This window comes from Homo sapiens, chromosome 12 (assembly GCF_000001405.40).
Source record: "Homo sapiens chromosome 12, GRCh38.p14 Primary Assembly".
NCBI lineage: Eukaryota > Metazoa > Chordata > Mammalia > Primates > Hominidae > Homo > Homo sapiens.
The window spans coordinates 111,077,993-111,102,816 of NC_000012.12; the positions used below are offsets into that span (position 1 = coordinate 111,077,993).

Here is a 24,824-nt window from a genome sequence, read left to right on the forward strand (position 1 = left end):
GGCAAAGGCATCTCAGCTCTGGGGGTACCTGGGGTTTCTGTCCCTGTCCTTGGAGATTTTCAAAACAATGATATAGAAATCAGCAAATGAGTACATTGAATTTGTAGGTGGCTAATTGTGGAGCAGTGGGGTGTTGCTTCTGGTCATTGTGTTTATTCATTCAACAACCAGTTGAGCCCACACTGTGCCCGGCACCAGACTAGGCATCGGGGATGAGCCGACATTGAGAGAGACAAGGCTTCTGCCCTTGTAGAGTTTCCATTCTGGTGGGAGGAGCCAGGCAGGAAAGAAAGGACAAAGTGTTCAATCACTAAGGCATGCTGAGCATTGGGAGGAAGCAGAGAGGAAGTTACCAGAGAAAGGAACAAGAGCATCTCATTTCAGGTGTTGGGGGCCAGGTGCAGCAGCTTATGCCTATAATCCCAGAACTTTGGGAGGCTGAGGCAGGAGGCTCACTTGAAGTCAGGAGTTCAAGACCAGCCTGTCCAACATAGTGAGACCCCCATCTCTACACAAAAATTTAATAAATTAGTTGGATGTGGTGGCATGCACTTGTGGTCCCAGCTACTCAGGAGGCTGAGGCGGGAGGATCACTTGAGCCTGGGAATTTGAGGCTGCAGCGAGCTATGATCGTGCCACTACACTCCAGCCTGGGCGACCGAGAAAGATCCTGTCTCTAAAAATAAAAAGTCAGCGAAGGAGTTTGGGTTTTCTATACAGTGCAATGGGGATCCACGGACAGGTTTTGAACAGGGGGGTGGCTTGTTTGAGTTTGGTGATGGAAAAGGTCACTCAGAGGCAGGTGGGCTGGGAGACCCCTGAGGGGTCTACTGTAGCCATCTGGTGAGTGATGATGGTGGCTTAACTGGGGGAAGCGGATGGGTTCGATCATTCTGGTCAGGGGCCAGGTGGCTGAGGAAAAGGAGTCGTGCGTGGGAACACCTGGGGTCCCAGCCTAGCCTAATGAGGCCTATAGCCCCAAGCCTATCCTGGCCTGGTCCCATGGGGGCTGAGGAACTACTTGCAGCAGAACATTAGCTGTCTATGGACTGGGAAGAGCTGGGACCTGGTGGCCCAGAGCTTGCAAACTTGGGCTCTAAGATCAGATAGATGTGGGAGCTTCCCATCTCACTGCCTTTTACAAACTGGTGGCCTCAGACAAATTGTCATTCACACGTACAAGCAGGTTAGAATAATTTTTGGTCTAAGACTTTCCTTCTGGAAAGAAGAAACTACCAAAAGTGGTTGCCCCTGGAAAGGGATTCTTGGGGTGGGTGGGGGATTTACTTTCTCCTCTGGTAGCCTCTGAGTTTATGCTATAGGTGAGTATTATCTAGTCAAAATTGTCCACATCATCTGCGACACACAGCAGCATGGACCTGTGGTGGCCTTCTGAACGAGGACTGGTTTTGCTGCCCCATTTTACAGATGAGGCTCAGGCAGGGGCAGTCGCTTGCCTGCAGTCACACAGCCCTACCTGGTCGCTCAAGCCCCTTCCCAGGCCCTGACCCCTCCCTGGCTTCCCTTCCCTGCTGTGTTTTCGGCTTGTCTTCCTCGTTGCTGTTGGTTAAGTTTGTAGACTTAGTGAGACCTAGAAGAGCAAGATTTTTCCTGGCACGAGTAGTGATTTCTCATTCCCCCATGCTCTGCTCTAAGAATCATTGATTGGGCAGCTTTATTTATTAGCTTAATCTTTGCACATCCCTCAGCGGCACTGTTCTCCCACCTGCTTTGTCCAGGGCAGAACAGCCTGTGCGTACACCTGTGTGCATGTGTGTCCAGGTCAGTTTGTGTGGGTGTCCACATGGGATGTTCCAAGTGTGGGTTTGGGACTGGGTGGGAGGACGCCTCACTTCACAGCTCTCCCTGGTGACAAGCAGGTGCCCACAATCATCTTAATCCAGGCGCAGCACACAGGAATTGCTCACCAAGAGATGGCAGTGGAAAAATACCCTCTGGTCTAATGTCAGAAGTCCTGGGTTCTAGTCCTGTCATGCCCACTTGCTTGCTGTGTGACCTTGATCAAGTCACTTCTGTTCTCTGGGCCTCAATTTCTCATCTGTAAAACGGGGATGATGATAATATCTGGCCTTCTTGTTTCTTGAACGGACTGAGCACTTTCTCACCTCAGGGCCTTTGCACTGGCTGTTCCCTCTGCCCACGGCAGCCTGCCCTGCTCCTTTGCTCTGTCTGGTGGTCTTTCAGAAGTTACCTTCACAGGCTTCTCCAGCCACCCTGACTAAAATCCCGTAACACACACACACACCTACACACGCAGCCCTCACTTCCCTCCCCTGCTGTATTTTCTTTCTTCCTTAGCACTTAACATGATTGAACATTTATATTTCACCCATTTACCTTGTTTGCTGATTTCTCCCATTAAAATGTCAGCTCTAGGGCCAGGAGTGGTGGCTCACGCCTGTAATCTCAGCACTTTGGGAAGCCGAGATGGGAGGATTGCTTGAGGCAAGGAGTTTGAGACCAGCCTGGGCAATGCAGCAAGACCCCATCTCTCTGTCTCTCTAAAAAAAAAAAAAATAGCCAGGCATGGTGCTATGCACTCATAGTCCTAGCTACTCAAGAGACTGAGGCAGGAGGATCACTTGAGTGCAGGAGTCTGGGGCTGCAGTGATCGTACCACTGCACTCCAACCTGGGTGACAGAGTGAGACCCTGGCACTCAAAAAATAAAATGTCAGCTCTAGAAGGGCAAGGATTTTTGTGTGTTTTGCTTACTACTGTCTTCCTAGCACCTAAAATGGCACTTGGCACAGAGTAGGTGCTCAGTAAGTATCTGTTGAAGGAATGAGTGAAATAAGTCAATATAATATAGGCACTTCCTGGTATATAATAAGCACTCAACAAATATAAGTTATTGTTATTATTACTGATATTACTGCTATTAAGCTTTCTTGAGCCTCAGTTTCCTCATCTATAAAGTGGAGACGCTGCTGATAATAGCTATGATAGAGTTATTGTGAAGTCAGTGCTGTAACTGTCGGCTCCTAAAATTATTCAATACATAGGAGCTCTTATAGCTGTCGGTACAATGAATAATAAGGGCCAGTAGTGGGAGTGTTTCTGGAGAGTGGAGTTTGTGTCCAGGACCCAGGCCTCAGCCCTCACCATGCTGTCACCGTTTCCGATTGACTGCTGCAGTGGTGGGAGGATTGATCTTTTTGTTTGCCCCCTACTGTTGTCCACCCAGAGTGTCCAGCTGAGGTTTACAAACACCCCTCTGGGAGTCCAGCTTTCTCGAGCGGTGTCTCAAATTCTTCTAGATAAAGTTCATTTTATTTTGTTTTTATTGTCTTTTTAAGTATGGGAAGTTTCTGTTTGGGAGGGGAAGACCAGTGGATATTTATTGTCCTAGGGAAACATCCCTAGCACATTGCTCTATGGATGAAAGCCACTGCCAAGCAGCACATGTGGTGTAGTTTCTGTAAATTAAGAAAGCAGAGCCTCCTCTGACCAGGGGAATGAGATCTAGTCTCACCCCTAGAGTCAGGGAAGAACCTCACCCAGGACTCTTAATTGCAAACAACAGAAACCGACTCAGCCCCCACCAAGACTCATGTAAGGAGGGGCTTCTCCACCTATAGGAAGGAGATTCTGATTCTGACTGGCCATAAAGCATGACAGATGTTGGTGACAATTGGGAGAAGTTAGGATGAGGTGAGGAGGGGACCCCAAAGAGAATAAGGAGTGATTTCTGGATGCAGCGGGAATTGGTGCTGTGGTGGTGACCAGCCACTGTCCACTGTGTAGCCTGAGATAGGGCAGAAGATAAGCAGGTGCTGTTCTGTTCCCCTTGGACTTTTTAGTGTCTTCCACGAGCTTCCGCCTGCTGGTGACTGCATCTCTGTTTTTTTTCCAAAACTGTAAGACCACTTTGCCTGAGAGAGGGCAGGCCAGAAGTATTGAGGCCGTAACCCCCCAGGTGCAGCCCTCCAGCCTCAGGAGTTGGCATATAAATGCCCCGGCTCCCTCACCCTGAGAGGAATGACACAGATGCCTGTTTTGCTCTTCCTTGGGGTGGTGGAGATTATAGGCAATTTTCGTGTTTGGCTTTCTTAAGGAGGATTTTAGGTTTTCAGCATAGAGAATGTATCATTTTGCCGTTTTAAATCAACCTTCTACAAAAGGACAGGAATGTCCCTGGGAAGGTTGGGGATGTCTGTGTGGGGACAGCAGGTGTTTTGAGGCATCTCTGTGTTGTATCTGCTCATGTTGTGGACAGAGCAATTCAGGCTTCTTCATCCAGCAGAGATGAGCGGGAGAGAGAGAGAAGGGAGAAAGTGGAAAATCACAATATATTGGAAGGAATATGATATTTGTAAAGGAATTAGAGTCAGTCCAAATAAAAGGCTGGTGGCCTGAATTGGTTTGATTCCAGGAGTTTTCTGAATTTGCCACTTTAGTGGGAAGAGGGATTTGAATTAATTTCACACCTCTTGAATGCCTACGGTGTGCCAAGGACCGTGCTGGGCAAGTGTCCGAAAATGTCTGAGAAAATCAAAAAACAGCAGGGACCCAGGTCGGACTGGAGTGGCAGGTCGCCCCTGGGATGTTAAAGCCCAGGGTGTAGGGACAGAGGAAAGAGAGTGGTTAGACCAGCCAGGGAGCTGGGAGAGAGGACACAGCTTTGAAACCAGACAGAAACTTCCCCTCCCAAACAGAAGCTTCCCATGAAACTTCCCTGAAACGTGGAAGACTCGCCGGGAGGTGGAGGAGGCAGGTGCCCCAGAGCAGAGCATGAGCAAAAGCTCAGAGGGGAAGGCATGGCCACACCCTGGGGGCCCTGAGCAGACTGGTTTGGCTTGTCTGGGAAGGGTGGGCAATGTGGAAGTTAGGCTGGGAGATTGCAGGACCATGGGTGTCGTGAAGAGGGGTTGCTGGGTAGCTTGGTGGGCCATGGGGAGCCATGGAGGACATTTGAGCAGGAGGAGGAGGTGTTCTGAGCTGTGCTGGAAAGAGTCTTCTATCACAGTTTCTCGACTCCACACTGTTGACATTTGTGGCCGTTTCATGGTAGGGGCTGCCCTGTGCCTTTTAGGGTGCTTAGCAGCCTTACTGGCCACTCCCTTCTAAGTGGCAGTTGCCTCCCCTGCTAAGTTGTACCAACCAAAAATGTCTCCAGATACTGCTGACTGTCCATTGGGGGTCACGAGCGACCTCAGCCAAGAACCACGGTACCACCTTAGGAGAGAGATGAGCAGGGTGACCAGCCAGAGAGCAGCCACCAAGCAGGTGACCATTGAGGTCACCCAGAACTGGGGCAGGGCAGGGGAAAGAGGGCATGGGTGTGAGAGGCCTTCCAGAGAAAGGATTAAAAGGCCAGGGATCAGCAGGCCAAGGAGACCACGAAGGAGACAGATGTTGGAGCCTGGGGCCGGGGTCCAAGGTCTAGGGCCTGATGGGTCTATGGGACCAAGGACAGATGGGAAGGGAAGAGGAGTCCTTTGGGGTGAGTGGAGCTTGAGGACCCCAGAGTCAATGCATCTTGGGGTGCCATCCAGGGCTTAACATAAAGTGGGTCTGTGGTAATGGGGTGGGTGTTGCTGAGTGAATGAATGAGCCAGATATAAGTCACTTAGGCAAAAGAGGACTGAGGTTTAGGAGGGAGTTAAGAGGCTGCTTCCTGTGCAGTTTAGTGAGAACCTGCTGTGTCTCGGATTCCATGGAGAATACAGCCCAGTGGAGGGGACGCCCACCGAGCAAACTCACAGGTAATAGAAGATGACAGCTGGCACTGAGAGCTCCAAGAGGGAAGCACGGGAGTTTGTAGTCGTGAACCTTGGGGCTGGCAGGGAGATTGGGAGAAAAGGCCAGGCAACCAGTCAGGGGCTGCCATCCACAGGGCAGCCCGCCTTTGGCCCAGAGAACGTGCTTGTTCAAGGTTACTTTGATGGGGGAAGAACAACAAGCCAGCCCTTGGCACAAAGGGCAGTGAGAGTAGAGAGCAGGGCCATCTCCTCGAGTACCAGGGTGGGAGTAGTCAGGGAGGGCTTCCCTGAGGAGGTGAATGCTGGAGCTGAGGACGGAAGGATGAGTAGAAGTGTACATGGGGAAGTGTGAGGGAACAGCATATGCAGAGGCATCACGCTGTGCTTGTCAGAGACCAGAGGCAGATAGAGCCCTGACTTGTCTTACTCCTTACAAATAAATATGATTTTCCTCCTGGTCTACAGCGGTGAAGACTGAATCAGCAGGAGTGGAGTGGTTAGTGGTGCCTGGGCTGGTGGGCATTCTCTGAGCCCTGAGACATAAAGGATTTCAGCCCCCGCCCTTTCCTCCCATTCCTGCCCAAGTACCATCTGTTTCTAGGGGAGCAGGTGGAGGGACCCCAGATGTCCCCTGTCCCCTGCTTTAGCAGTTGACAACCTGTGAATATTTAGAAAGTGTGATTTTCAGTTCCTCAGTGCACCGCTGGAGAAAGCAAACTTTAACTTTTTCCTCTTTTTTTCTTCTTTGTTTTTTCAAGGCCAATTTAAACAGAATCTTTTTTTTTTTTTTCCCTAGAACAAGCCACTGGCTATTACGGAAATAGTAAACAGGAGTCAGGGCTGGGGCATAAGTGGCCTGTTTTAATTAGAACATTAAAGTATTTTAACGCTTACACTTTATATTTCTGCGAACTTGATTATATAGCATTTTAAATACCTGTGAACGTTTTAAGGACTCACAGCGATGAATTATTTGCAGGTTCACAGGAAACTTCTATTTTAAAAGCAAAATGGTATGAGAGTGGCTGTGAAAGCTTTGCGGCAGCGACGGCGCTGTATAATGAGGGGCCACGTGGCGGGCGGGCTGGTAGACAGCCCGCTGTACCTGCTCTCACTCGGGCTCCGGGGTGCCCACCTTCTGGAGAGGCTGCTGCGGGGTGCAGGGGATTGGAGGGACCTCACCCCCTCTTCTCCCATTCTTCCTCTTCTCACCACAGTGAAGCCACATGGACCTTCTCATCATTCTTTTATTCTCTTGGTATTCATTGAGCATCTACTATGTGCCAGGCATTGTTCCACACACTGTGACAGAGCAGGCAACACTCCCTGCCTCCGTGGAGCTGACCTTCTAGTCTGGGGAGACAGGTGGCAAAGAAAAAAAAATAAATGAACATCATGATGATAAAAATGGTGAAGGAAAGGAAAGTAGGATAGAGGATGGGGATGGAGGTGCTGTGGTGTGCTGGAGTTGGCTCATACCAGCTCCTGAGAGCTGACTGTGTGTGTCTCTTCCCAGCCTTTCATTCAGTGACATTCCATGGGCAGCTTAACATCAGCCAAGGTGGAAGAATTTACCCCATGGAAATTGGCAGATGCCACAAATCAGGGCTTACTCCTTAGAGAGCCCATTGTTAACCATTTACCAGCATGCATCTGAGCAGGTCATGCGGAGATCTGGGGGAGGGTTGGGAAGGGTGTTCCAGGCATTCCCTGATGTGGGAATGTGTTCAGAAGGGTTGAGGAACATCCTGGAAGCCAGTGGGGATGGGATGAGTGAATGAAGGGGAGAATGGAAGGAGATAAGGCCAAAGGAATTCTGTAAATACTTTTGGTCTCTGAAATCCTCTAATCAGTTTACTTGTGCCTCCAGAACTTTGTGCATGCTGTACCTCTGCCCAGAATGCTCTTCCCCTGGCTGATTCCTTTGGTTCCTGTCTCCCCTAGAGAAGTGTTCCGGGACCATTTTTGCCACAGCACATCTTTCGCCTTTATTCTTATATCAGCACTACTTGGTTCCCTTCCCAGCATTTGTTTCCAGTTGTAATTGGGTATTGGGTTGTTTCTTTGAGTTTGGAATCTGTCTCCCTCATTGGACTGTAAGTTCAGAAAGATCTCGTCCCCTGCCATCTCCCCACCTTCCAGCAAGGGCTTACACAGGGCAGATGCTTGAAGCATTATTGTCACATCAGTGAATGCTGGTGGAGAGACTTTTCTGCACTTATTATTGGTTTGGGAAATGCCCTGAATGGTGTGAGATCAGGGATCAGGAGCAGATGTAGCTGATGGAGAAGCTAGAGGCTCCTACCTTGTGCCAGGCCTGATCCAGGAGCATAATTCCTAGGTCCCTTCTAGTTAACTTTGAAGCAACACAGTGGCAGATTGAGGCCACTCTGATGATGGTCATAGTAATTACCCCCACCAGCTACCAACCTGTCAGTGAGAAAGAGCATTCTCTCTGCTCCTGCTAAAGACATTGGCCACTTCAGTGGTTAAATATTTCTATTATATCATGGTAGTATCACAGAGCAATGGATGTGAGTTCAGAACTTAAGATGAAGATTGTGTCACTGATGGAGAAAGTACTTAGTTCACAGGCAACTGGAACTGTGTAGCCTGGGGTGCATCAAAGAAGGAAACATTTTCATCAAAAGAATCAGGTTTGGCTGACCTGATTATTTCTTTTTCTAATGATGAGAGCTTAGAACATAATGATTGAGGTGATCAGCATTTAGGCCTTTCATAGTTAATGAGGAACTGTCCAATTTATCTTAGAAACAATTGCTATCCAGGGCCTTTAGTGAAGTGTGCAGTGCCTGGGAGAGAAAGACACTTAACATCACAGAGCTGGGTGCAGACAGGGAGAGGAAGAAGGCTCCTCTTTTAGGACATCAAATTGACTCTGTCTCCGAGGGTTTAAATCCTGGCTCTGCCCTTCCCAGCCATATGCCCTTTGGCCACTTGTTTAGCATCTTGGAACCTCAGTTTCCTCTTCTTTAAAATGGGGCTGATGGAGCAGTTATCTCAGGGAATGGTTTTTGGTTTATGAGGATTAAAAGTGATGAGGCACAGCTGGGTGCAGTGGTGCATTCCTGTAGTCCCAGCTACTTGGGAGGCTGAGGCAAGAGGATCACTCGAGCCTAGGAGTTTGAGGCTACCCTGTGCAACATAGCGAGACCCCATCACTAAAAAAAGTGATGATATGTGTAAAAATCTGAGAATGGTGCCAAACATGGCACTCAAGAAATGTTACCCATTGCTATTCGAGCTGTCAAGTGACATACTTTTTATAGCCTATGAAATAGGAATGGACATAGTAAGTTATTCTACCGTAACAAGGGACTTACTAAAGAAAATGCTGTGGGCCGGGCACAGTGGCTCACACCTGCAAGCCCAGCACTCTGGGAGGCCGAGGCAGGCGGATTGAGGTCAGGAGTTCATGACCAGCCTGGCCAACATGGTGAAACCCTGTCTCTACCAAAAATAAACACACACACACAAAAATTAGCTGGGCGTGGTGGCGGGCACCTGTAATCCCAGCTACTCGGAAGGCTGAGGCAGGAGAATTGCTTGAACCTGGGAGGCGGAGGTTGCAGTGAGCCAAGATCGTGCCAGTGCACTCCAGTCTGGGCACAGAGTGGGACTCCATCTCAAAAAAAAAAAAAAAAAAAAAAAAAAAAGAAAGAAAAGAAAGAAAATGCTATGAAGAAGAAGTCACCAGAGTTTTCTAGCCTGCCAGCTGGTGGCTTCATCTTGATGCAATGCATGTTTTACTAGCAGGTAATACTATTCCTTGAGAAAACACACGCAAGTGCTTTGCACTTAACCTGGCTCACTGGAGCAGCTACTAATTTGATCATTAATCAGAGAATGCTTTTCATTTCTGTGTGTGGCTGTAGAGTCGACTTAGCCATAAGTTGTTTGTTCAGTCATTTTGTTTTGTATCATCCAAGAGGACAGAGGCTTTGTCTGCCTTTGTGTGCTGTCTCCTCAGTGCCTAGAACAGCCCCTGCACATAGTAGATGTGTGATGGATATCTGTTGAATGAATGAAATTATATGCCTGTATGGGTTTAAAAATGAAGGACTATATCCTAGGGAACTGAAAACTGAAGTTTACCCCAAAACCTGCACACAAATGTTCTCAGAAGCTTTATTCATGAGTAGCCAAAAAGTGGGAACACCCCAGATGTCCTTCACCAGGCCAGTGGTTCAACTGTGGCACCCCCACACCGAGGAGCACTACTCAGTAATGAAAAGGAACGAACTATTGATAAGCTAATGATGTGGATACAGCTTGAAGGAATCGTGCTGAGGGAAAAAAGACTATTTCAAAAGGGATTACTTACTGAAGGATTCCACTTACTTAGCATTCCCGAAAAGACAAGGTTGGGGAACAGGGAATGGAGTGGGAATGGGGTCAGGGAGGAAAATATGTGTGCTTATCAAAGGGCAGCACGAAGGCCTGGGGGTGATGAAATGCTCTGTACCTTGACTGTGTCAATGTCAGTATCCTGGTCCTGCTGTCAGTGTTGTAAAATGTGACCCTTGGGGGAAATTGGGTGAAGGGGGCAAGAGATCTCCCTGTGTTCTTTTCCAAACTTCTGACCTCAAGAAATCCTCCCTTCTCAGCCTCCCGAAGCACTAGGATTGCAGGCATGGGAGCTACCACGCCCAGCCTCTCTGTATTCTTTCTGCATGTGAATCAGCAATTATCTCAAAATAAAAAGTTCAATTAAAAAAAAAAGTAAAGGACTGAAACCACTGCATTAATTATTCAAAATGCAGCGGGCTGAATCCCTACGATGTGACGCATTAACTGGAGTCTTCATAGCAGCGGACTGAATCCCTACGATGTGACGCTTTAACTCTAGTCTTCATAGGAGCCCTGTGGAGTAGATGGAGATGATGTCACCATTTTTCAGAGAAGGAAAAGGCTCAGAGAGCTTAAGGGACTTGTCTGAAGACAGACAGCTGGCAAATGGTAGAGACAGGACGCAGACCTGGGAGTGTCAGGCCCTGAGCCCTTAGTTCTTTCCTCTAGACGTGCAACTCTGAGCGCCTCAGGTTTGGACAATGAGCTGAGCTATGAAGCTCACCTGTCGTGCATGGACATGAGATGTCCGACCGGGCAGCTGGGTGCCATGGTACCCCCGTCTGACGAGGCTGACAGCTCTGCAGTGGGGAGAGGCGGTGGAGAGTCATCTTGGGTTTCCCACCTGCCTGCTCCTGAGTGAGCTGCTGACCCCTCAGGAGTTACGACCCCCTCCCCACTCCACTAGGTTTGCCTTATCCAGGGGCGGTGGTGTGCAGTGTTGGGTGGTATTATGACATTTTACAGGTGAGGAGACTGAGGCACGGGGCGAAGGGACCTGCAGGATATTCCAAGTGGAGATGCAGTTCTCCCTAGCTCCAGCATCCTGTGGTAATGATCACGGTCAGTTTGCTTTGTCCTGTGCAGTTCCTGTTCTCAGAGCATCTTCTGCCCTGTGACAGTGATCAAGGGCACAGGCCCTGGAGGCCAAGTCCAGCAGCGCTGGGATTGAGTCTTGGCTCTGTAGATCACCAAACTGTGGCCTTAAGCAACTGATTTCTCTTCAAGCCTCAGTTTCCCCATCTGAGAAATGGGGGGAGTAATGGGGATTAAATAGAAAATATGTTTGATAACACACTGTAGGGGACAAAAAATGCTAGCAGCATCTGAAGCCTGTAATTTGGAACCCTGGTCTGTCTGCTCTGAGGCCCAGGGCTCTGAGCTGAGAGGAGCAAAGCCTCCACCTGAATTATCCACCCTGATGTTACCCCTCCAGGCCCTACAGTGCTCTCCTGGACCCAAGTTCTGCTAGGCTGTTGGTTTTCTGAGCAGGGCAGTATGTGTTGCAACAGCGGCCATCCAGAGGGCCTGGAAAGCCCTCTGCAGGAGGCAGCATCGAAGCTGAGAGCTGAAAGATGGCTGGGCATTCCTAGGTTAATGGGAGGAAGTAGAGGGAAAGGCATTCCAGAGAGAGGGAACAGCAAGTACAAAGGCTCAGAGGTCAGAGAGTGCAGGTGCTTTTGGGGAACTGTAACCAGAGCATTCATGCTTGAGCATTAAGCAGGCAAAAAGCAGAACCTAGTCACTGTGGCCCTAGGTCTCCTCTTCAGTTAAAACATCACAAAGCAGGCTGGTGGCCTTTCAGGGGGCTCATGGGCAGATAAGGAGTTTGGACTACATTTTGAGGGTGATGGGAGCCATGGAGGTTTTGGGGCAGAGGAGTGATGCAGGTGGGCTTAATGTGAGGAAGGTGCCTCTGGCCATCATGTGCAGTGGAGGGGAGCAGAGGTGAGCTCCAAGTGGAGGCAGGGAGGCCAGGGAGGAGGCAGCTGCAGCATCTTGATGAGTGATCTGATCCCCGGTCCTGGAGCAGAGTTGTGGGAATGGGCTTGGATAGGAGTGACCAGCTAGGGACATTTGTCAGTGCTGAATTGACAGAGCTCTCCGTGGGGCCAGATGAGGGAGCATCTCAGGTGAGCGAGGTTTCTGTCTTGGGTTCTGGGCTGGCCCGAAAGGGGCAATCCCTTTACCTCTTTTTTGTTTTGAAATGGAGTCTCTCGCTCTGGAGTGCAGTGGCATGATCTCGGTTCACTGCAACCTCCGCCTCCTGGGTTCAAGCGATTCTCCTGCCTCAGCCTCCTGAGTAGCTGGGATTACAGGCAGGCGCCACCACACCTGGCTAATTTTTTGTATTTTTAGTAGAGATGGGGTTTCACCATGTTGGCCAGGCTGATCTCAACCTCCTGGCCTCAAGTGATCCACCTGCCTCAGCCTCCCAAAATGTTGAGATTACAGGTGTGAGCCACTGCGCCCGGCCTGCGATCCCTTTACTACACTATTCTTTGGTCTCTGTAAAACAGAGGTGATTTCCACCTCCCCATCTCTCGGCATCCTTTTTCTGGGTGAGGGTCAAATGATATCCTCCCTGAGCCCACACCTTGCAGTGAACTGCAAAAAATCCCAAACCTCACCAAGAGGCCCCTCATGTTAGAGATACAAGCTCCATCATTTTGTCCGGTGGTTTTTCAAATGTGCCACCAACCCATCAGCTGAACAGAGATGCTACTTCTCACTCTCTCTGTTTTTTTTTTAATTGTAAAAACCAGTTTGAGGTCTCCTTCTCATCTCAGGAGAGGCACTGAGAAACAATGCCATCACCAAACAGCAGGTTCTAAGCAAGCACAAGCCAGCATTGATGGAGCACCTACTGTGTGCCGAGGCTCCCTGTGTGCTTCTCCTTGATCTTCTGGGTTAAGGCCACGGGGGAGTGAAATCTGACAGAGTGAGTCTGTGCCCGGCTGCGCCGTGTCCTCACTACATGGGACCTTGAGCCAGGAATTCAGTCACTCTCAGCCTCAGTTTGCACATCCGTGTGCACATCCATGTAAGGGGTCACTCACTGGACTCACCCAAAAGGTGGCTGAAGGAGTCAGTGTTCCCACTCCAGCCAGGGCCAGGTGAGCGGGCACCATGGACTGGATAAAAGACAGTCTTGGACTTGGCCCCAGGAGGTTGGCCTCATTGTTCCTGTTTGCGGAGGGAAGTCAGATCCGCAGCCCCAAAGCTGCCAGGGTGTATTTCCCGACTCAGCCGTGCCCTTTTCACAAAGGCCCGGAGGAGACACAGCTGGGGTTGCTGCTGGCGGAGGTCAAGTGCAACCGGGCAGCGTTCACTCCTCCCTGTACAGACCCCTAAGAACAGAGATCAGGCCATCGAGGGGTGCAGGATTGGGCCACCTCATCCCAGTTGCCCAACTGATGGGGCCCACTTCAGTTTTTCACCCCACCCAGCCTGGAACCTTCCCAAAGCCCAGATAATTGTCACCTGGGGTTCTGTGCACTTTTTATAGAAGAACGCTGTGTTCCTTTCTGAGGACACTTGTAACAAATTACCACCAACTAAAGGGGACTTAAAATAGTAGAAGTTTGTCCTCTCGTGGTTCTGGAGGCCAGAAGTCCAAGATCAAGGTGTCTGCAGGGCTGTGCTCCCTCTCCAGACTCCAGGGGAGGGTCCTTCCTCACCTCCCCCAGCTTCTGGTGGCTGCCGGCCCTGCCTGGTATTCCCTGGCTTGTGGCCGCATCACTAGGATCTTGCCTCCATCACCACATGACTGTCTTATCTTTGCACCTGTCTCTTCTTATAAGGACAAGGGTCGCTAGATTTAGGGCCCACCCTAATCCGATATGCTCTCATCTTAACATAACTGATTAAATCCACCCGCCTTGGCCTCCCAAAGTGCTGGGACTGCAGGCATGAGCCACTGCACCCAGCCAAGCTCTAACAGATTTAAGTTTCTTTCTGACCTTATCTTATTTCCAAATAAGGTCACATTCTGAGGTTCAAGATGATGTGAATTTTAGGGTACCACAATTCAACCCAATACCAGCATCTTTAGAAAACGTTGAGAGCAAGGGTGTCCTTTTCACCCTGACCTTTGTTAGGAGTTTTGTGGTGAAGAAGAGAGAGGGTGTGCGAATGTCTCCCCCATCCGCAGGCAGGAAGAAGGGCTCCAGCTGTTAGTCCCAGATGTGTCTCTGAATGAAACACTGAGACTTGAAGTCTTGGCTGCAAACAGGGGGCTGTGTGGTCAGGCAGGAGGAGCAGAGTCTTCTGAGCAGGCTGAGCTGAGGTCTAGGCTATTGGCCTTTCCTCACAGCTTGCCTTTCCCAGACCCTCAATTTTCATCTCTGTAAATTGGGCATAATAATAGTACCTTCCCAATGCGGCTGTTGGGAAGACATCACTGTGGGTTTTAATGCTAGACACTGACTAGTCCAAGGTCTCATTTGGACAAAGAATCTGGGACTGGGAGAGGAGCCGTAAGCAAAAGTGACAGGCCTGGAATCAGGGCTGGATCTGCTGCCTCCAAGAACAGTGTTCCTTTCTCACATCCAGCCCTGGTCCTGCCAGCGATTGGCTAGGAGGGTCTAAGACCTTTAATAATAAAGCTGGCAAATAGGAATGGCAGAGGCTAATCTTTGCAGTGACCCTCTGAGGAAGGGACAGCTGTAGTAATCCATATTTATTTTCCTGATAAGGAAACCAAAGCTCTGGCAGATTTTTTTTTTTTTTTTTTTTTTTTTTTAAGAAAAGTTCTCACTATGTTGCCCAGGCTGGAGTGCAGTGGCCCGATCATGGCTTACTACAGCCTCTGCCTCCCAGGCTCAAATGATCCTCCCCACCTCATCCTCCCGAGTAGCTGGAACCACAGGTACATGCCAACAAGCTCAGCTAATTTTTGTATTTTTTGTAGAGACAAGTTTTTGCCATATTGCCCAGGCTGGTCTCGAATTCCTGGGCTCAAGAGATCCACCTGCCTTGGCCTCCCAAAGTGCTGGGACTGCAAGCATGAGCCACTGCACCAGGCCAGGCCCAACAGATTTAAGTTTCCTGCCCAAGGCCATGCAGTTGGAACGTAGTGGAGCTGAGATGCAAATGCAGGTACATCCACCTCTATGTCTCACTTCCTCTGGCTCCCCTGTACCTCAGTTTCCCTATCTGGAAAATGACACCTGTTTCAGGTTCCCAGCTTAGATGACCCCGACTCCAGTAGAACTGTGCTGTTACATAAACTCTGGCTCGCCCAGGAGGGTGTCCTAGCTTTTGCATCTCCTGCCCCTCACACCACGGCGACTTGAGATTTTTACACAGACGAGAACTGTGTGTGGGGCGGTGAGCAAGTAAGTGCGTGTTTGCAACAAATATTTTATAATAGACAAGCCTCGTCTGCCACTTCTAAAAGTAGTGAAAAAAAAAAACCCACTTTGAGAAAGTAAAAATAACCCAACGCCTGAGTCACTGAAGTCACTGAACTCAGCTGGAACCGGCAGCTCCAAGCTGAACTGACTGCTTCAGCTCACCCAGGGCAGCAGGGCTGGGGCCAGAAATTTGACGGGGGGGCGATGAACACCTGAGCTTTTAGGGGGAAGTCCCAGTGGTTAGTTTGTGGGTGAAGCGCCTGTCGCTCTTCCTTTTATTTTAAGCTGCAGGATGAAATGGCTCCCTGAAACCCTCTATCTTCTTTTTCTTTTAAAAGTGACTTGACAATTGATAATTTTGCCCTGGCGATGGACACCTTAGAGCTTTTATTTCTTGGAGGCCAAACATTGATGTTGTGTGAAATGGGAGCTTGGCGGAGCCTTTGTGCGGATCTCAAGCTTCCTGAAAAATTTATTTACTGTGACTGTGATCCGCAGGAGCCAATTGATGTTTATCTATAGTCGTTCGCGCCAGCAAGGAGGGGAAAAATGCATAACTGCACTTTCTTCAGAAGCCTTGCGAGGCTGTTTAAATAAGTATCTAATAGTGAACTTTCAATAGCAGACAGGCAATTTGACGGACAGGGGACAGTGTATTATTAACCATAAGCAGGCTTAATCTTTCCCCCACATTTTAGAGGAAGCTTTATAACCTTCTGGCAGAGGAATTCCTGAAAACGAGGTATTTGAAGCTAAGCAAAAATTATCCTGGCCATTCCCGTGGCAGAATCGATCACTCCAAGAGCCGCATGAAGGAGGGGAACAGGCTGCGGCTGGGCCCGGTGTGAGCAGCCCTGGCCACCTCATTGTGGCGGAAGGGCCCGAGAAGTGGACGGGGACCGGGAGCGGGCAGAGGGAGGCAAGGGTCATGCTGGAAGCCTGGTTTTCCTGCCAGGTAAGTAACTTCTGCTGTTAACTGAGCTTGGGGACTGGGGTCAGAGACCTGTGTCTTCCCCCTGTGCCCCGGTTGCAACAGCACCTAGCTTTTGGCAGCATCCACCTTTTTTCTTTGAGACAGGGTCTTGCTCGGTTGCCCAGGCTAAGAGCAGTGGTGCAGTCCCAGCTCACTGCAGACTCAACCCCTTAGGCTCAAGGCATCCTCCCACCTCAACCTCCCCAGTATCTGGGACTACAGGCGTGTGCCACCATGTCTGGCTAATTTTTCTGGGCTGGGGGGAGATGGAGGTCTCACTGTTTGCCCAGGCTGGTCTCCTACTTCTGGGTTCAAGTGATCTTTCCATCTCAGCCTCCCAAACTGCTGAGATGACAGGCATGAGCCACTGCAGCTGGTGCATCCACCTTTTAAGCAATAGAAGTGATTTATGTGATACTGTTCAATGCATGTCTGTCTTGCTCATTGTGCCGGAAGTTTTGTGCAGCCTGGAGGCTGTCTTATTTAACCAGGGAGGCTCTCTTGATCTCTGGACGAAGGTAGACTGGCTTAGTTACAGAATTGTCCCCTGGCCCCCTACCTGGCTGTCATCACCTTGGGAGTAATGCAGCCTTCAGTGTCTGTCTCCTCCTATTTAGAGGGTCAGCCGCAAGCACCCAGGGACTTCACCTCAGTCTGCCCAGCACCAGATACCCCATAGCATCTCTTATGCTGTTTATTGAATGACTAGCCATGTGTTTTCCTGGGGTGGGAACAGCTGTGGTTAAGAGCATGAGGGTGGCCAGGCGCAGTGGCTCATGCCTGTAATCCTAGAACTTTGGGAGACAGAGGCAGGTAGATAATTTGAGCTCAGGGGTTCAAGGCCAGCCTGGGCAACATGGTAAAACCCCATCTCTACAAAAAATACAAAAATTAGCCAGGTGAGGTGGCGCACGTCTGTAGTCCCAGCTATTCTGGAGGCTGAGGTGGGAGGATTGCCTGAGCCCAGGAGGTTGAGGCTGCAGTGAGCTGTGATTGTACCACTGCACTCCAGTGTGGGCAAGAGAGTGAGACCCTATCTCAAAGAAAAAAAAATGGATGAAGGTTAGATACTCTTGGTATCAAATTCCTGTCTGTTACCCACTGTGTGTTCTTAGGCAAGTGGTCTGCCTTCTCTGAGTCTTTATTTCCTGGTCTAATGAGGTAAGGAGGGAAATGACTTCACCATTTTAAGTCTCAGTTTCCTCATTTGTAAAGTAAGCATAGCAGTGCTCCCCTCCTTGAGGGCTGCAGTGAGAGGTAGATGAGAGGGTGCAGGTGAAGGACTCAGTGTGTGAGTTATAGCTGTTCTTATTAAAATTGTATTGATCAATATTACCGTTACTACCATCACTACTTTTTCTCTCCATGAAATAAGCGAAACTCACAGCCTCCATTTTGTCTGCTTCAGACATTGTCAACCCTTTCAATGTCTCAAAGCCAGAATGAAGGAGCATGCTGGGTGCCATGTAGGGTCCGGAAATGCTGGGCCTGGAGTGAGTCCCTGCACATGGTGGTTGCTCTCATGCATCTGCTCCGTGCAGGAGCAGTGAGCTGGCCCTGGAGCTGAGTCCCCTTGTGCAAGTCCGAGCCTCCTCGAGCAAGGGCTCAGAGGCTGACAGGGTCAGCAGTGATGCTGGGACAAGAGAGAGTGCCAGGGGCTCAACAAGTGGCTCGTGGATGAGTGATGGTTCCAGGATTAAGTGTGCCACCGAGCCCCCCATCAGCAGGGAGAACCAAGAGCTGCCTGGTGCTCAGAGCAGTTATCACCAGAGTCTGGTCCGCATTCTTGCCAACAGCCTAGAGAGTACAAAATGGAGCCCTCCGGTGGGGGTGAGGGGAAATCAGACCTTGGAGGTCTCAAGTTCCCTACCTGCCTGGGCTGAGGTTCTTTGTCTGCCCCGGGCTGTTCTATCCCCTACCCCTCACATCCTTTCTTGCTCTCCCAGAAGCCAGTTGGGTTTACCCAAATTATCATCCCCATGGCCACCACAGAGCAGAGTGGGAGGCGGGGCCCTTTGCTGGGTGCTCCCCGTATGGAATCTTAGGAGCTTTTATCACTTACACCCATTTTCCAGAAGAGGAAACTGAGGCTCACAGAGGCAAAGTCACTTGCCCGAGGCCCCATAGCCATCCCGTGGTCCTGTCCCTCTTCTCTGATGCTTCACATCCCCGCTTCCCAGCTCAGTGGCACCTCCAGCCTCCTCTTTCCCTCCAGAAAGCAAGGCCAGCTCAGCCACGGGGTGGGTTTGTGAGTTGAGCTGGAATTGTTCAGGAGATCTGGCTTGAAGAAGTTAGTAGGCTGTAATCCCAACACTTTGGGAGGCCGAGGCAGGTGGATCACTTGAGGTCAGGAGTTAGAGACCAACCTGGCCAGCATGATGAAACTCCATCTCTACTAAAAATACAAAAATTAGCCAGGCATGGTGGTGGGCACCTGTAATCCCGGCTACTTGGGAGGCTGAGGCAGAGAATTGCTTGAACCCAGGAGGTGGAGGTTGCAGTGAGCCAAGATCACACCACTGCACTCCAGCCTGGGCAACAAAGCAGGGCTCCATCAAGAAAAAAAAAAGAAAAAGAAGAAGTTGGGAGGCAGCTAAGATCTTGGCTTCAGAAGGTGAGTCCCTGTTGTCAAGATAAAAAGGATTAAATCCTAAAAGCAGAGCCTTGCCAACACATCGGACAGAGCCCAGCACCCCCGAAAGTTCTGCACTGGGCATCCTTCCTGTTCCCTTCTCATGCCTCTGATGGGAGCTCTGGTCCAGATACACCCAGGAAGGTGACATGAGACCCTCAAATGTGTGTGTGTCACCTGAGACCACCAGGTGTGGCCTTGGAGTGAAAACCCATGTTGTTCTGGGCTCAGGTACTCAGATGCCTGTCTTGGGGTGACAAACCCCATCTCCCACTGCTTCCTGTTCAATTTTGGGAAGTGTTTTGGGAAATGACACACTGCTCACCTGCTTGTCCCCAAGCCCTCCATCTCCAGAGAGCAGGATGGGAAGTTGGGGAGGAAGCAGAGGAGCCAGGGTCTTTCTTTTTGGCTTTATTTATTAGCAACAAATACGAGAGCTTAGAGCAAGGCACCAGCAGCAGAGGGAGCCTAAAATGATATTAATCACAGCAGCAATAACTAATACATATTCATGTGCCTACCCGGGGCCAGATCTGGGGAGCTCCTAGATAACTAAAATGGGCTTCTGCTCTCAGGGGGGTCACTGGCGTGAGCAGACCACCCGTGACTGCACAAGACAGCGTTTTCTCACAGCAGCAGGTCCTGCTCGGCAAGCGAGGCGCTCAGAGTCAGGAGCCAGGGAGGATCCGCAAAGAGACTGCAGCGAGCAGGCAGGGGATCGGGGTGGCTGTTTTGTACCTGGGGCACAGCATTGGGCACCAGGAATGGCGTGGGCATTGGCACAGAGAACCCAGGCTCCAGGGCGTGTGAGTCGTTTTGCTGGGTTAGAGGTGAGCTTGGAGTGGTTGGTGGGTGTCAGATCAGACAAGGCCCCAAGGCCACCACATGGAGTTTGGACTTTTCCCCGAGGCTCAGAGTAAGGATTTGGGGAGTTTAGTTCTAAGAGCTACAGGAAGCCATTGAAGGGCGTAAGCTTGGGACAGTAGTGACAGGATCCACTTACCTTTTGCAAAGAAGTCTCAGGCCACCATGGAGAGGAGGGTCGTAGGGGTAAGAACAGAGTCGGGAGCTGGGCGCTGTGGCTTTACGCCTGTAATACCACCACTTGGGAGGCCGAGGCAAGTGGATCACTTGAGGTCAGGAGTTCAAGACTAGGCTGGACAACATGGCAAAACCCTGTCTCTACTAAAACTATAAAAATTAACCGGGTGTGGTGGTGCCTGCCTGTAATCCCAGCTACTTGGGAGGCTGAGGCAGGAGAATCACTTGAACCTGGGAGGTAGAGGTTACAGTGAGCCAAAATCATGCCACTGCACTCCAGCCTGAGCGACAGAGCGAGACTTCGTCTCAAAAAAAAAAAAAAAAAGAACTGAGTGGGAGAGACAGGGAGGAGCTGCTGCAGTCATCGGCCTTGGCACCGGGGATTCCCGGGTACAGGCCAACGAGGGACCTTTCAAAGTAGATACGCATCTCTGGAGGGAGGCCACTGAGGCTGCTGTGAGCTGCCTTGCCAGCATTTCTCCTTTCCATCCCACATCTTGACGCTCGGGGACTGCGGAGCCCCAGTTGACAATATGGTGACATGTTAACGGGGGAATGGCCGGAGGGGACCTATACCCCCAGCCCCAGAGCAGCTCAGACAAGAGCAGGAAGCCAACGTCACCTCCCTCTCTCTAGCAAGGACTCATGTTGGTCTCCTGATTCCCTTTCTCTTCGTGAGTTCAGAGGAGGAGGACAGTGAGCCACGCTGGAGGGACTTGGCCTCGGCTGGCACAAGCTGGGTATTCATTTATTCATGCACTTAGCAGCCGCCCATGGGGCTCATGCCTGGTGCAGGGGAAAGGGGGAGCACCGCAGACTGCCTCCTCCCCTCAGGGAGCCCCCAGACAGGAACGGCCAGAAGTGCAGCATGTAGAACCAGCCTGAGAAGAGCTGTCCCTGAGTAGGAGCCGGGAGGCCTCTGGAGTAAGGATAGGTGCTCAATATAGCCTGGAAGGCCAAGGAAGTCTCCCAGAGGAGGCCACCTACATCATCTGCTCAGTGAAGGCAGGAACTGGGTTGCCCATTCAATACAGGATCCCAAATGCTCAGCAGTGTGGAAGGAAGTGACTTGGAAGCTCAGACCTGAAGGGCGACCAGGTCCTGCCCCAGCAGAGGCAGGAACGTGTGTTCAAGGTGGAGGAAACGGCCTGGCCAAAGGCTCGGAGGTGGGCTTTGTGCAAATCACTGTTCAGAGTGCCTGGGACCTCCGGGTGAGCAGGGTGTGGCAAGAGCTGAGGCTGGAGGCCAGAGGCAGTGCTGCATTTTGGGGTCTAGGCCTCTGAGCTCATAAAAATAGCTCGGTGCTTTCTTAAACCGTTATGTGGTTTCTCTTCTTCCTTCATTTCTTGCCAAGCCCGGAAAGCCAGGTTGGGTCACTGCTGGGAGGTATGAGGTGAGACTCGGGTTTGCAGGCAGGGCAAGTTGTGGGGAGGTGGGGGTGGCCCCCTATTTGTTGGGGGCAGACCTGCCATTTGAAAGCCACCATCCTCATGTGTAGCCCTCACATGGGAGAACAGGATTGGACCTGCAGGGATCCTGGCTGGGGTGAGATGGAGTCTCAGGGGAAGGTGGGGGATGTCTCTGCCAGCTTTGGGGCTCCCAGTCTCTCTGATCACCTATTGGGTTTATTGGGCGCCGAAACTGGGGCCTGCACGGATGGTGTAAAATCAGACCCAGGCAGCCTGGGTCAGTGCCCATCATTCAGAGTGACCCTCTGTCCCCTCCATGCCCAGCGGGGCCGATGGGCAGCTAGGAGGCGAGGGACCGTCTGGCTCAATCGAGAGCCAAAGAGGTAATGCTAATGTCTTTTAAAATTAGAATGAAAATGTTTATTGCAGAGCAGAACCTGCGTCAGCTCAGAGTCCTGTGGGAAGGGAACGGCTTTATCGCAGCCTTTCGCTTTTATTTTTGCACATTCGCTTTTTATTTGCCGGTGGTGCTGCTGACGGGCCCTCGGAGCGGGGCTGTGTCTGGACACTTCTGGGAGCCTTGGACGGCTCTGGAGAGGAGGCAGGAGCTGCCCAGGGTGAGTGCAAGGACCCGCCGAGGGTTGAGAGGACTTGGGGGATGTGAGAGCAGGAGCCTGTGACTGTGTGTGTGTGTGTGTGTGTATGTGTGTGTGTGCTTGTGTCTGTGTGTGTCCTTGTGCCTGTGTGTGTCCTTGTGCCCCTTTGTGTGTCCAGCTCGATGTATGCGTGGCCTGTGTGGCTCTCCGTGTGTCTTTCTCTGCGTGTGTGGTGGCCGCGAGAGCCGTCCATGCATGAGATTGAGTGTGGATCTCTGCCTATCTCTGTGTGTGCACTCATGAGTTGTGTGTGTGTCTGTGTGTCTTTGGAGGTGGCCATGGGTGTGGCTGGGTGTGGGTCTTGGCCCTCTGTGTCTTTCTGTTTGTGCGGATGTGTGTGTGTATCTTAAGGAGACACATGGGTGCGTGACTGGTGGGTCTGTGTGGGTGCAGACACCCATGTGTGCAAGTCAGAGGGGTATGCATGCGTGTGTGTAAGCATGAGTGTACACCCACAAGTGTGTGAATTGTATACATTTGAACATGTGAGCTTGCATGGAGGAGGGTGTCACGTGGCAGAGTGAGTTGTGTGCATGTATTTTGCATGTGTGTGCTACATATGAGAGCGTGTGGACTGAGCACACGTTGCACAGGAGGGTGTGAGCAGTGCTCATGTGCTGGAGCACCTGTGTGAGTATGTATGTGAGCACATGTTGCATGTGTTGCATATGAGCACATGTGTGGGGCACTTCCATCTTGCATGGGGGAGCCCCCAGTAGAGCCCTCCCTGGGCAGCTCAGCTTGCCACCAAGGAGGTCACTGTAGACTCCCAGCCTCTTGCCTCAGCCCCAGCTCCAGTCAGAGCCTGGAAAACCCTCCCCTGTCCCTCTGAGGGCTGTGGCCATTTTTAACCCACCCTATTCCAACCAAGATGGTTTTGTCAAGATTTGCCTTCTGTAGCTTGGGCGATAAAAACAATGGGTGTTTTGGTTTTGGAAGGGGTGTTGCTTTCTAAATACCAAAGCATTTTGTGACACGAATGCGCTTTTTCAAGGTGCACTCACCCCTCGTGATGAGGACCCCTGGGTGACAATGGGTCAGTGCGGCCCGGGGGAGGCTGGTGCCCCAGGATTGGTTCCTGGGATGCACCTTCCAGGAAGGCTGCCCTGAGCTGTGTGGTAAGGGACTCTGGCCACAGCCCTGGAGACTGTCAGGGTCCCCCAGATGGCCACACCACAGCAGCCCTGCATCCTGCCACCTGCAGGGTGTGACCCCCTACAGCCGCTTCTCCAGGCTAGAAAATCCATGCCTTGCAGGGAACCTGGTGGCTGCCGGGCTTCTCCACAGAGCCATGGAGCCAGAGGAACCTCCTTTTGATCTCTGTCCCTGTCCGGCTCACTGTCCCTTCACTGGGATTTGTCATGTTGTGGTATCACCCTCTGCAGATCTGGGTGGGTGAGTGGGTAGGGGGAGTCACATCTTACAAAACAGAAACCAGGTACTCTGCAGAATAGAAGATGGTCGCGCCAGTGCCAGATGCATATCTGGAGCCTGGCTTCAAACACTGTGTGGCCTTGGGCATGTTGCTGAGCTTCTCTGAGCCTTAGTCTTCCCACCTGTAAAATGAGAGTCATAACAGAGCCAGGCTCAGGGCTGTCTCTTACTTGTTACCTTGGGGTCTTTCTGGAACAAGGCAGACTTCCGTGGGCCAGATTGGTTCGGTGTGTCCTAGCTATGTGTGATATCAGGCAGGTCACTTTATCTGTGCCTCAGTTTCCTTACCTGCAAAATCGGGCTAAATACAGTACCGACTACATGGGGATGTTGTGAGAGTTAAATTTCTTACTTTACATAAAAGGTTATAGTAAGTACTATAGAGCAGGAGCTATTATTGTTATTTCTGGAACGCCTGAACTCAGATTAAAACGTCCTGTCGGCACACAATATCCTCTTTTTTTAAAATCACACAATGTGTAACCCACTCTTTCTGTAGCCTTGCCCACTGTGTGCTGCTGTCAGGCAGCTGCTGTGTGCCAGGCATCTGGCTGGGCATGCCCGAGGCATCGTGGTATGGGTTATGGGGTGGGTGTCCTGCGTGGGTGGGCCGCGCCAAATGCTGTGCCTGTCTCTCCTCCAACGGTCTGGTGAGGTGGGCAGGGACTCAGGTTAAATCACCCTGGGCAGCAGCCAGGTGTGGGAGCCAGCCGACAAGGAAGCCACCTGGCAGCTCTCCCTCCGAGGGAGGATCTAGCAAGCTCAGGCTTGTGGCGGTTGTGGGCATCCGAGACTGTTTTGTGCACTTGTCCAAAGCCGACTGACATCTGAGCATTGGTGGCAGACAACTGAGAGGAGAGTGGCATGAGATTTCCCCTGAGCCTGGCACCACACTGTGCCCTGAGCCCACCCCACCTTCAACCATGTCACGGACATGTTGATGATGAAATACTCAGGCTCATTCAGTGAGGCCCTCTGCCTGGGCCAGGCCTTGTGCTGAAACAGCTTGCATGCATGATCTCGTCTAGTCTTTGTAGAAACCCCTCAAAGTAAATCCTTATTCCTATTTTATGGGGAGAAAGCTGAGGCTTGGAGACATTTTGGAGTCTTCCAAATCTGTGTAGAAGTTCTAGTTCTTCCAGTTGCCGAGTGACTTCAGGACAGCTCCTTAACCTCTCTGAGCCTCTGTTTACCCACTTCGTAGTGGGTAGCAAAAGTTCAATGAG

At 50.9% G+C, this 24,824-nt stretch overlaps 1 protein-coding gene across 7 annotated transcripts in view, besides 3 other annotated features; it reads left to right on the top strand.

Annotated features, from left to right (window-relative positions):
- CUX2 (cut like homeobox 2) overlaps positions 1-24,824 on the top strand; it is a 316,390-nt gene that overhangs the window by 43,828 nt on the left and 247,738 nt on the right. For 2 of the 7 annotated variants that reach the window (NM_001370598.1, XM_011538063.4), the window contains exon 1: positions 22,012-22,125. The exons of the other annotated variants lie outside the window; for them this stretch is intronic. The gene's annotated coding sequence lies outside the window, so the exon portion shown is untranslated. Of the gene's footprint in view, positions 1-22,011; positions 22,126-24,824 lie in introns of those variants that run through there. 7 annotated transcript variants of the gene reach the window in all.
- Positions 20,884-20,983: an enhancer, noted in NCBI's record as "active region_7029". NCBI's record gives its function as "activates an Ori minimal core promoter by ATAC-STARR-seq in GM12878 lymphoblastoid cells {active_cell/tissue: GM12878}" and the evidence as "EXISTENCE:reporter gene assay evidence [ECO:0000049][PMID:35858748]".
- Positions 21,094-21,173: an enhancer, noted in NCBI's record as "active region_7030". NCBI's record gives its function as "activates an Ori minimal core promoter by ATAC-STARR-seq in GM12878 lymphoblastoid cells {active_cell/tissue: GM12878}" and the evidence as "EXISTENCE:reporter gene assay evidence [ECO:0000049][PMID:35858748]".
- Positions 22,109-22,728: an enhancer, noted in NCBI's record as "H3K4me1 hESC enhancer chr12:111537905-111538524 (GRCh37/hg19 assembly coordinates)". NCBI's record gives its function as "activates a minimal SCP1, AML or CMV promoter by ChIP-STARR-seq in naive H9 embryonic stem cells {active_cell/tissue: H9 hESC(naive)}" and the evidence as "EXISTENCE:reporter gene assay evidence [ECO:0000049][PMID:30033119]".